Source organism: Homo sapiens, chromosome 15 (genome assembly GCF_000001405.40).
Source record: "Homo sapiens chromosome 15, GRCh38.p14 Primary Assembly".
In the NCBI taxonomy this organism is placed as follows: domain Eukaryota; kingdom Metazoa; phylum Chordata; class Mammalia; order Primates; family Hominidae; genus Homo; species Homo sapiens.
Window position 1 is genome coordinate 34647000 of NC_000015.10, and position 12897 is coordinate 34659896.

Genomic DNA, 12897 nt, shown 5'->3' on the forward strand with positions numbered 1-12897 from the left:
TATAAGGTGGAAAACCCTAACAAAAGACTGACAGTGAAGTCATTCAAATAGTACCTCGACAAGCTTCAGGGGGATTGTTAATTTCCTGATTTCAGAATAATTTGGTTGGTCCCAAATATTACAGCAGGCACCATGGCAACAGCATTTGATATGACAAGCTGTAGGCTTAAAAATGAATGTGAAGCTGAGATTGTTAGGGTAATTAGGGTTAAATACTAATTCTCTTATGATAGCCAGGGTTCTGTGGATTTGTACTAGCCAGTGTTTAATGATTTCTTACCATGTGCCAAGCTCTGTGCTAATTCTTCACTTGCACTATCTCATTTAACCTTCACAATAATTCCTAAGTCTTGCTGTCCCTGTTTAACAGTTGTGGAACCAGAGGTTGAGCTTGAAGAGTTAACTTTTCCAAGGTCACAAAGTTGGTAAGTAGTGTTAAGTGTTCATCGCAGAAGTGCCCAAGCGTTTTCAGTTCACAGTGTCCTTCGTGTTTTAGTCATTTTTTCACAGTACACACAGGCAAAAAGAAATACTTACCACTTCCATTTCTTAGTTACTTAGGTCCAAACAATTTCATAACTATCTCTGTCCTAATAAGTTAGTAGTTGTTTGAAAAGAATAATATGCACACATTAAAGGAAAAATAATATGTTTTATTTCATTCTTAAATAACCACAATTACCGACTAATGGGATGGGTGCACCCATTGGGCATGCAAGGGCTTCTTGAACTTGGAATGAAATTGGACAGCACCACCTTCATTTCCTGTTCCATGTTAAGTTTTGCACAGTACCTGCTTTTTAGCAAAGCAACTGCTGAAAACTTAGCTTTGCAAACATATGGCATTATCAAAAGGGATGTAGTGTGATCTAATGTTGAAGCTGTGAACTGCTTTGAGTTAGTTGTTCACACTTTGTCTGACAGATGTCAAGTATTCCTGTGTTTTTCTCCAAAAATTAAAAGATACAGTTTGGGAACTGCAGGTCTGTTTCCCTTTACAAGGCTGTGAGGCAGGCAGTCTTGCAAAGGGAAACAGATAGACCTGCAGTTCCTCTGGCAGGCAGCCAAGTTCTCTCATTCATCCATATGTACTCACCCTAACACAGTGCCTGGCACATCGCAGGGAGTCAATAGGTGAAAGTAGAGGTCTGAATTGTTCCTGATTCCAGCTCCAGGAAGATGTGAACTCTTCTGAGTCTCCTACAGGTGACTGTCTGTAGCATCACTGATGTTTGTTCATTCCAGAATTTCCCCCTCCTAAGGATGAGCTCAAACTGGCTTGCAATAGCTAGAGAACCAAAAGCCCCATCACTAGGACCTGTTCAGGCTAATGTCAGAGTTGAGCAAACCTGTCCACACAAAGTCAAACTCCGTGCCCTCGGTGGTCTACTACACAGTTGCCTCTCAAAGCAGCAGCTCCAATAGCAACACATGTTTACTTCCAAGGCTCTGACACAGCTCTTTTTAGGAAATGCAAACAGAGAGGGAGGTGAGGAGGAGTTTGCAATTAGGACAAAGAATGACCTTAACAGGAGTGAATGCTCTTGCATTGGTTTCCCAACCCTGATACATCCGTAGATTCATTTGAACGGAGTTACCCTATGCATTTTCCATCTATCTGCTTCCAATTCTGGGGGCATGGCTGAAAGGAACTACCATTCATTCGTGTTTAAAATAGTGTTCTTCATTTCCTCTCCTAACAGCACAGCCCTTCATTGCTTCTTACAGCTGGTTTGTCTTCTGGCTTCCTTAACATCACTGATATCAGGAAGACCAAATTAACAAATATATCCATGAAAAAAAACCCATGATATTTTTGCTCAGCAATTCCATTCCCAGGGACTTATACAGATATAAGCACATGTTTGAGAATGACACATATATTATTACATCAATTACAGCAGTATTTGTAATAACATAAGATTAGAAATAACCTACATATCCTTTATTAAGGAACTATTAAAATAAACTATGACATATTCATATGTAGAATTTAGGCAGTCTTTTTTGTTTTTTGGAGAGAGATAGTCTCTCTATGTTGTACAGGCTGGCCTTGAACTCCTGGCCTCAGGAGATCCTACCACCTCAGACTCCTTAATAGCTGGGACTATACTTGTGCACCACCATGCCCAGCTAGGCAGTCATTTAAAGGAAGGGTCAGCAGAATTTTTCTGTAAAGGGCAAGATAATAAATATTTTAGTCATTGCAGACCCTGCAATCTTTGCCACGGTTACTCAACTCTGCCCTTGTAGCACAAAACAGCCACAGACAATGCATAAAAGAACAGATGTGGCTGTGTTATAATAAGACTTTTATTTACTAAAACAGGTAGAGACTGAATTTGACCTGTGGGCTATAGTTTACCTACCTGATTTAAAAGAATAAGGCAAGTCTATATATACAGCTATGGAAATATTTCGAAGATATATTTTTAAGTTAAGCAAACCAAGGAGGAAGAAAATACAAGCATGTATGTAGATGTATAGAAAACATTGTAAGACTACACAAGAAACTATCAATGTGGTTACATCTGGAGATGTGAAGTGGAAGGCCAAGGGAAAAGGGAGATAGAGAGGCTTTTCATTGAATAGCATTTTGTTCCTACTGGAATTTGTATCATGTGGATGCAATACTTATTTTTTAAAAAGCAAACTTTAAAAGAGTGGGTTTGCATCATCAGAATCCTATTTTGTAATATCGAGGCTGACCATTTGTATATCCAGCACTCCTCTGTCTGATTTCTCCTTATTATTGACGCACATTTTGATTCCCCATGAGAACTGCAAACTGTTTTGAAGGACTGTCTTTATACCCACAGTCTTTCCTTCTTCCTGCCAGTGTTTTGCACAAAGTAGACCTCTTTATATATTTATGTCATAAAAACTATACAATAAAAGTTAATTTATAGTAGTATTGGTAGGAGGGAACCCTTCCTTTACACCCACCCAAGGAAACTCAGTTACTTTTGTATAAGCAGAATCAAATTAAAACAAACTTCAAGGACAAAAGGAAGCCATACATCAAAATACTTGGCCCATGGTAGGTGCTCTTTACATGTTGAATCTTTGCCTAAATTAAAGGACAGTCACTGCTGTATGTTCACCCACGCTGCCTCTTCCCGGGTTCACATAAAGACATTTCCCAGCCTCCCTCTTCTATAAGGTCAAGTGGTCCCTAGAACCACAAGTGATGTGTCTGCAAACCCAGGGGCTACCAGCTTTCTGGACACCTACCCACTAGATGAGTCAGGGCAAGAATAGAAAAACCCTCCCTCCTCCCTCAAAGAAGGGTTATGTCCAGTCAGATGGCTCAGCCACAAGGTATTTTCAACACATGGGGAGGTGGTGTGGGTGGACAGTGACAAGAAGGAGACATTTGCTATGACTGTATTGACTTCTGCCTCCTCATTCTTCTGAAGCAGTCAGCTAGTCAGCTGCTGGAGAACCAGAAGACATAATAATGCAATTCTCAGATGTTTGCTTTCCACTGATATTATGACCCTGGTGTGAGTTGCCATGGCAATTTCAACATATTAGAGCCACATTCTTTTGTTTAAATAATTTTTTTATGTCTTCAGCAGTTTTATGTCTGGAGACATTAGGTGTTGAAATTCTATCCATCCTTACAGACTCTTCAGGATGGAGGTTTCAATCTCCAATGGCCCTGACATTGTCCTCCCAACAGTAGCAGGAGACCTCTTTTGTTAATGACCTATAGTTTCTATATAAGCAAGGTTCTGGGAGCTGAACTGAAGCCCTTAATTCTGGGTATGAATTCAGGCATTTGGGTACACCCTGAGCGGGAGGAAAGAGGTAAAGAGATTACACTCTGTCATAAGAACAATGAAATAATTTATTAGGAGTCAACCACAAAAGCTTGGATTTAGAAGGGCCCATAAATCCTGTCTAGTACAGGCCCCACATTTTGCTGGTGGAAAATGGACACAGAAAGGGCAAATGAGTTGCCCAAAGTCATAGAGCTACTTAGTAGCAAATCTGGAATTAGAATCTGAGTTTCCATACTCAATTTCCAGTTCAATGCCTTTTTTTTACAATACTGTGCTACCTCTAAATGATAGATAACATGAAATTGGATAGTGGGATAGCATAGTATAATTTCCCAAAAAGCTGAAAAGAGGGTGTGCCTTCCTTTAATTAATTATTGAAGAGTTGCCAGTTATTGTTTTGAGCTGGAGTCTTAGGATTATGATTGGGGATATTCCTAGAAATGATGATGAATTCTTTCTTCTTCTATAGACCATGCTGCAGAAACATGTAGGGGTAATTCAAGGGAATTGATTTTGAATGATCACTTTACCCAAAGTCTCTGAAATGTCAGTTTTACAAGAGCAAGCTAAATAACATTTTTTAACATTAAAAGAAGGTAGTCATAGTATACTTGGTTCCAAATTGGCCAACTCTGAGAATTTGCCGACTCTTTTTTTTTTTTTTTTTTTTTTTTTGAGACAGAGTCTTGCTCTGTCACCCAGGCTGGAGTGCAGTGGCGCAATCTCCGCTCACTGCAAGCTCCGCCTCCCGGGTTCACGCCATTCTTCTGCCTCAACCTCCCGAGTAGCTGGGACTACAGGCCCCCGCCAACAGGCCTGGCTAATTTTTTTTTTTTTGTATTTTTAGTAGAGACAGGGTTTCACCGTGTTAGCCTGGATGGTCTCGATCTCCTGACCTCGTGATCCGCCCGCCTTGGCCTTCCAAAGTGCTGGGATTACAGGCGTGAGCCACCGCGCCCAGCTGGGAATTTGCCAACTCTTTATTGCATCTGCAGGGAATTAAAATTGGAGCACCTTCGCAAGTAGCACCTACACACAGGGTGATGATGATGATGATGATAGTGATAAAGGAAAATTTCTTGAACACTTACTATGTACTAGTCACATAGCCAAAGCTAAATGATATGCTAAAGGCTTTAACATTTATTCTCTTATTTAATATTCTCAATAACCCTAAGGGGTAGATATTATTATTATTCTCATTTTATAGATGAGTAAATTGAGTTTTAGCTAGGCCCCATGGCTTCAAAAAGGTAGATGTGGTATTTACATTCAGATGGCCCTAAAGGCTGTCTACATGCTATTTTGCATGTAAATTAGAGGAACAGCATTTTAGAGCTGGAAGTGAACATGCCATCCAATGCCTTCCTTTCAAAGATGAGGAAGTGGAAGTGGAATGGTTTGTTCAAAGTTTCATAACTTATGACAGATCCCAGGGTTCCATGCCTAAAAAGAATGTCCTGTACTGGATCACTGAAAAGGAGTTTCCTTTTTGACCTCATCTTTGACGGTGCTTCTTGTCAGCAGCTTTCCAGATCTTTAAGGAGACCCATTTAGCTGTGGATTAATACATCAGCTACAATCTTGGGCTGTTTATTTAACCTCTCTCTGTCTCACTTTCCTTGTCTGTAAAGTGGAGAGAGCAGCTTCACAGTTGATGTGAGTATATATATACAGTACTTGGCACTGTACAATACAAGCTCTGCCCAGGTGTAATCTATTATTATAAATGTGTGGACAAGTGGCAATAGAGGTGAGGGAAAAGGATCAGTTCTCTTAAATTATGCAAGTGGCACCCTGGCAGAATATTGAAGCTGGGTGGCCATCAGCCAAGAACTTTTCCTTATGAAGTTTACTCAGCCTCCAGCCTTTGATGCCATTCCTTACCTGTTCCTCCTCTTCAAAGTACATTATTATCATTTTCATGACTATTATTATTTTCCTATCTGTCTTTTATAATTGTGCTAGTTATGATGTTATGGTAGGAAGAAGATGTAATTATTTACACAGCCCTGCATTTCCCATTATTGACCTTCTAAGAAGGCTGAATTCTAAGAAATAGACTTTGTTTTGCACAGGGGGATAAAATGTGTTATTTGGGCCCCTGCCATGAGATAATGAGTTTGAGGAGGAAGGAAGGGGTGGGGCTGAATTCTGCCTCCACTCCTGGGGCCAGGTCTCTAGCTCTGGCAGCTCATAGGAAGGGGCACTCTTTTCTAATTCATCTGAGAGTTGCCTATGTCCATTGTCATGTCCAGTAGGGTCACCTTTTGTCAATTTGCCCGAAGAGGGTGCTTTTCTTAAATTCACAAAGTTGAATTACTGCTAGGTGCTAGCAGTAGATTTTTACTCACTTTCTTCATGACTTCATTCACTTAAACCCAAAAGCATTTATTTTATTTTATTTTTATTATTTATACTTTAAGTTCTAGGGTACATGTGCACAACGTACAGGTTTGTTACATATGTATACATGTGTCATGTTGGTGTGCTGCACCCCTTAACTTGTCATTTATATTAGGTCTATCTCCTAATGCTATCCCTCCCCCCTCCCCCCACCCCACAACAGGCCCTGGTGTGTGATGTTCCCCTTCCTGTGTCCAAGTGTTCTCATTGTTCAATTCCCACCTATGAGTGAGAACATGCAGTGTTTCGTTTTCTGTCCTTGCAATAGTTTGCTGAGAATGATGGTTTCCAGCTTCATTCATGTCCCTACAAAGGACATGAACTCATCATTTTTATGGCTGCATAGTATTCCATGGTGTATATGTGCCACATTTTCTTAATCCAGTCTATCATTGTTGGACATTTGGGTTGGTTCCAAGTCTTTGCTATTGTGAATAGTGCCGCAATAAACATACGTGTGCATGTGTCTTTATAGCAGCATGATTTATATTCCTTTGGGTATATACCCAGTAATGGGATGACTGGGTCAAATGGTATTTCTAGTTCTAGATCCTTGGGGAATCGCCACACTGTCTTCCACAATTAAACCCAAAAGCATTTAAATAAGACAAGTTGAGTTTTTGTTTTTTACCACAACTTAAGTTATGATTCTCGTTTCTAAAGGTAAAAGTCTCTTTTCTATCAGAAAAAAATGAATTCCTTTTATACTTATCATGTATAATGTATGAGGACTAAAATAGAATCGGTAATCCCACAAGACCAAGAACTGCAAACTATTGGCATTTTCCCACTTAGAGGGAATGAAAGTACTGAACGTTTAGGGAGGGTTAAGCCAGTCCCTTCCATGCTTAGTTTGATAAGATGCTTACTAAAGTTCTCTCTACTTTAGCAGGAGAGACACCTTGTAGAATACTTTTGTGAACCACAGGTACATCCCCACCATGTGATCTGAGGGCCGAGTGCTACACTACAGGTGCTGGCTCAGCTTGTTGCTGAGCCAGTAAGATCCATGGAGAGGCAATTAGATAAGAATCATAAGCTGCCCCAGAGAGCACCATGAATTAAACACTAGAGACCCTAAACACAGAAGCTACTTCCACTTACCATCTACTTCACTTTTTTCGTCTTTAATTTGGGTTGAAAACTTCTGAAATGTTGTTGGCATTCCTATGGGGCCTTTCAGTTTTCAGATACTCCCTTTTATCAGAAGTTACTGGCTGTCTACTGTGATAAATAAATAAATAAATAAACTTTTTTTAGTGCTTTCTATGGCAATTAGATATCCCACTTCCAGTGCTTGCCTTCACTTTTCACTTTCAAAACCCAACAACAGAGAACACTAACAGCCACGCTGGACTTTATATTTTCAAAGTGTTTCACATCTATTTTACCTATTGATTTTCAAAGAATTTTTGACTTAGGTAGATCGGATATGTTCTCTCTATTTCGAAAGCGAAGTAACATCTCAGTAGTTAACTGACTTGCCCAAGTTCACATAGCTAGATAATGACAGAGTAGAACTATCTCTCCTGTTGGCTGATTCAGTTCTTTTTACCACCGTATCTATAAGGCAAAGTGGCAAGTGCGAAGAGTTCTGGGGTTGGAGATTTGTGACCTTGAAAACCACAACTTTACTGTTGTTCCAAATATAAAAACTACAGTTGGAGGTAGGGATGCTGCGTTACTACAGTCCGGTGAGATAATTTGATTTTCAGTCCTAACTCAGCACTGTGCCCTTGTTCATGGTACTTAGTATCAATGAGCCTCCATTGTTGTGTCTGTAATACCTTCCTTACTAGCTAAGGAAAATGAAATAGTGTATGTAAAGGGCCTAGTATATTTTCTGGCATATACTAAATGCTCAGTAAGTGCTCATTAGGATTAATATTATTCCAGCAGTCTCTAGTCTTTCTTTTGGAGCACATCTTTCCACAAGCTTACATTCTTGTACTAAGAAAACTTAGGAGACTTTGAATTGGGCAACAACAGAGATTAGTGGGTGTCCTGTCTAGCTCAACTATCTGGATTACGCTAGCTTTTGGTTGTCTTTGTCAAAGCTTATTTTCCACTCTATAGAGATAGAAGTTAAGTTGTAGAAAACCAGTGGTAATGTAAATGTTTCTCGTCTATATGATTCCTGTATATGGCAATGCAAATGGATTTTGTCTGGTAGAAAATATAAATCTCTATCTTCATTTGAGCAAGTTGTAACATCTTACTAGTTACCTCATTAACTAGCGAGTTAAATAAAATCTTTGACACATGTTCATTCTGTAACTGTGTGAGTCATGGTTACATCCTCTTTTAAAAATTATCCTTTAATGCTTCCCAGTGCCTATCTTCTACTTACCCTACTTCCTTTACTTACTTTGTACAGTGCTTATCTTCTACTTACCTCAGTTCCCAGTGCCTATCTTCTGCTTACCTTACTGCCATGGCTGCTCCCAGCTGCGCACCCACACACTCAGCCATTCCAGCCCAGTCTCCATATACATCCACTGGCACTACCCTAGTAGCTGCTATTCAGGCTGTGGGGTTTATTAAAGTAGATCCAATGCAGATAAAAATCACTGGTAACCAAGTTCTGAAACAGAATGGGGACTAAAATTTGAAAATCAAATGGACTTGTTTGAATATTTGAAGAGCTTAATTGTTCTGATGCTTGAGGAAGTAAGTCTTAGCGCTTGTGTCAGACACTTGCCTTGACACTTGAAACGGAATATGTGAAGACCTGTACCTACAGGGAGTATGCATACAGATTCTGAGGGCCTGGCAGAAAGAGGTACTCACTACTCCGCGTTCTACAGTATAGCTGCCTAAGTAGATTTTAGACTCCTTTCTCCCTTCTCAAAGATACTGCCTCAAGCAAGAAAACAGATTTAATAGACCAATGGAATGATTCTAAGCCAGAAAATCTCATGGGTATGGATAGTCTGTGAAACAGAAAAAAAAAATGTATTCAAACTTTTTTTCTCCTTGTGTTCTAAGTCATAGTGTCAGTGTCAGAGGCATTTGAACCAGAGCAACTCCATCTTGAACAGGGGCCGGGTAAAATAAGGCTGAGACGTACTGAGCTGCATTCCCAGGAGGTTAGATATTCTTAGTCAGAGGATGAGATAGGAGGTCGGCACAGGTACAGGTCACAAAGACCTTGCTGATAAAACTGGATGTGGTAAAGAAGCTGGCCAAAACCCACCAAAACCAAGATGGCAATGAAAGAGACCTCTGGTCATCCTCACTGTTCATTATACACTAATTATAATACATTAGCGTGTTAAAATACACTCCTACCAGCTCCATGGCAGTTTACAAATGCCATGGCAATGTCCAAAAGTTACTCCATATAGTCTAAAAAGGGAAGGAACCCTCAGGTCTGGGAAATCCCCTGCCCTTTCCCTGAAAATTCATGAATAATCCACCCCTTGTTTAGCATATAATCAAGAAATAACTGTAAGTATACTCAGTTGAGTAGCTCAGTTGAGCATACCAGTGCCCTGCCTAAGGAGTAGCCATTCTTTTATTCCTTTACTTTCTCGCTTTCACTTTACTTTCTTCCTTACTTGCTTTCACTTTACTCTGTGAACTTGCCCCGAATTCTTTAATGCGCGAGGTCCAAGAACCCTCTCTCGGGATCTGGATTGGGATCCCTTTCTGGTAAAAATAGTATTGTGCCTGTTTTGTGAAGAGAGAAGGGATCCAGAAGTGACTGCATAGAAACAGCAGACAGGACATCCCCACGGTTGAACTTTAAATAAGAGTAAAATGCAAAAGTTAAGTCTCGAAAAATAAAGTGTTTTGCGCATGGACTTGATCATAGTTTTTGTTACTATGCCTTGGGTAAAGAGTTTTAAAAGAATTTCCTTTTTGTCAATCTTCCCTAAGATACAGAAATAGAAGTCTTTAGAGCAGATGCTGTTTTTTTACTACTATCATAAACTAGCAACTGGTTTCAAATATGGTTTTTCCACTTCTGCTGTCTTTACATTGTCATTCACTTGTTTACTCAACTTTTAACAAACCTTTACAAAATGCCTATTCTGTACCAGCTACTATGCTTGACACTAGGAATAAAGATATAAAAATCACTTTTTCTGCTCTCAAGGAACACGGTCTATCAGGATGGACAAACTAGTAAACACAAATTATAATATGGTAAAATATGTGCTATGCTACTTCAAAAACAAAGTGCTATGAAAGTATGCAGAACAAAGACAAAGAAGTCAGGGAATGCTTCCCAGAGCAGGTGATGTATGATGTCCACACACTGAAAAACACTGGGTGGTGCTGGATACCCAAATGGGGGGCTTAAACTAAGAGACTTGTGGAGATTTTATTAAAAAGTGGACAGATTTAAGATATACTACAGAGGTAGACTGGATCAGAAGCATCCTCACACTGGATGTGTGGTTGAGGAAGAGGATGGTGTCCAGGATGACTGTTGGAAATCTGCCTGGTGCAGCTGCATATCCAGATTGTCAGTTACCAAGATAAAGAAAGCCGAGGGAGGATGAGTTTGTACAGGGTGCAGGGTGGAAATCAGTTTAGTTCGAATGTGCTGAGTCTGAGGTGCTAATGAGACAGACAGGTGGAGGAGGTGAGTAGCCTGTTTGAATATGCACATATTAATTTAAAGTAGAGGGCTTAGGTTGCAATGAAGAATTGGGTGTCATCAGCCTCAGAGTGATTGGATGAAATCACCTAGGGAAAGATTAAACGGAGAGAAGAGCAAAGCACCTAGGACTGATCATATCATAAGGAACTTTGGGATGATATGTTGAGTCTACAGTGTAAGCCAAGAAGGAGTGGCCAGTGAGGTAAGTGGAAATCCGGGAAAGTATACTGTCATGAAACCTAAGACAAAGACATTTTCAAGAAGGAAGATGCTAAGAGTTTAGGTAAGATGGGAGGTAGAGAATTAATCATTGGCTTTGGCAACATTAAGTTTACTGGTATATTAACCAGGGGTCTCCAGGAAAATGGAACCAACAGTATGTATAAATATATACAGAGAATCCAAAGGTGTAGGAGAAATTGCCTAAATAAAATAAATATACATAAGAATCTCCATAGAGAGATTAATTTTAAGAAGTTGACTCATGCAATTGTGGAGGCTGGCAAGCTCAAAATCTGCAGGGCAGGCCAGCAGGCTGGAGACCCAGGGAAGAGTTGCAGTTTGAGTCTAAAGGCAGTCTGCTGGCAGAATTTCTTCTTCTTACAGGGAGGTGAGTCTCTTTCTATTAAGGCCTTCAACTGACTGGATGAGGCCACCCACACTATAGAGAGCAGTCTGCTTAACTCGAAGTTTACTTACTGATTCAAATGTTAATTTTATCTAAAAAATACCTTCACATTCTGCAAGAGCTGGGACTTAAAAAAAAAAAAGGTAAAACAACAAAAATAAATAAATAAATACCTTCACAGAAGCATTTAAAATGACATTTGACCAAAATCAGGGTACTATGGCCTTGCCAAATTGACACATAAAATTAACCATCACAGTTGGTAAACTCATCAAGAGGCCTTTCTGTTGATGGTGGAGGCAAGAACCAGATTGTAATGGATTGAAGTGCTAAGGGGAAGTAAGGAAGTATTGTGGACTCATCATTCTCAAACTTGGCTGAATTTAAGAATACCTGGGAAGTCTGTAAGAATCTCAATAACCAGGCATCACCCCATATCAATTACATAGGAATCTCCATAGATGGGTCTCAGGCATCAGTGTGCCAAACCTGAGAAGCACTAATATAAATCAGGGCTTCTCAAACTTTAAAGCGCATATACATTTTCTAGTAGGTCTGAAGTGGGGCCTGAGATCCTGCATTTCTAACTAGAGCTCCCACTAATGCCAGTGCTGCTGATCCATAGGCTGCACTTTGAGTAGTGAGGATACAGATGACTCTTTTCAGTAAATTTGAATGAAAGGCATAGTGAAATAGAGGAGTAGCTTGAGGGAAGTATTAAGTCAAGGAAGGATTATTACTGTTGTTGTTGTTGCTATTTGAAAAGTATATTTGTACAGTAGTGGGAGTGGTGGAGGGAAGATAAAGAGAGGTTAACAATGTGAGAGAGATGGGAACACTAAAAAAGAAAGTTCTTGAGGGGGCAAGAAGAGCAGGATCCTGAGTACAGGTAGAGTCCCAACAGACAAGGAACCAGCTTGCTGGGAAGGAAGGAGGAGGAAGCATTGTGCACAGGTCCAAAGGAAGAGGTATAGGAGAAATTGCCTGCCAGTGAACTGCAAGTGTTCTGCATGGTAAAAGCATAGAAACCATTTGGAGGACTGGAGTGAGAAGAAAGTGGAGAAGACAGAGGCCAAATCATAGAAGGCCCCGTGAGCCATACCAGGAGCTAGGCTTTTTCCCCAAAGGTACTGGGGAGCGGTTGAAGAGTTATCACATGGACTTTAGGATCAGATTTGCATTTCATTCTGAGATGTGCATTTTATTCAAAGAACGGAGGATGCACTAGGGAAAGAAGTATGATCATGCAAACAACAGAATCATTTAAGATATTGTTACAATAATCCATTTGAGAAATATCACCTCCAAAAATGCACAAAAGTATGATGGCTAAGATGAAGAATTAAAAAAAAAAGATTTGGAGTGATGTTTTTGAGAGACATTAATATGAGTGGGTTGGAGAAACAGCTGAGCAGAGAGGCCACTGGAGAACCAATGGTGATGGAGAACAAAGACATTCAGAA

General features: G+C 40.0%; 1 long non-coding RNA gene across 1 annotated transcript, besides 1 other annotated feature; it reads right to left on the minus strand.

Moving 5' to 3' along the window:
* Positions 1329-1623: a silencer, noted in NCBI's record as "tiled region #12620; HepG2 Repressive non-DNase unmatched - State 24:Quies". NCBI's record gives its function as "represses a minimal TATA promoter and a strong SV40 promoter by Sharpr-MPRA in HepG2 cells {active_cell/tissue: HepG2}" and the evidence as "EXISTENCE:reporter gene assay evidence [ECO:0000049][PMID:27701403]".
* Positions 4136-8765, minus strand: LINC02252 (long intergenic non-protein coding RNA 2252). The gene is made up of 4 exons (NR_146869.1): positions 8620-8765; positions 7299-7418; positions 4685-4777; positions 4136-4263 (listed from the first exon to the last, which is right to left on the minus strand). It is a non-coding gene; the product is annotated as a long intergenic non-protein coding RNA 2252 (long non-coding RNA).
* Positions 8766-12897: the final 4132 nt, after the last annotated feature.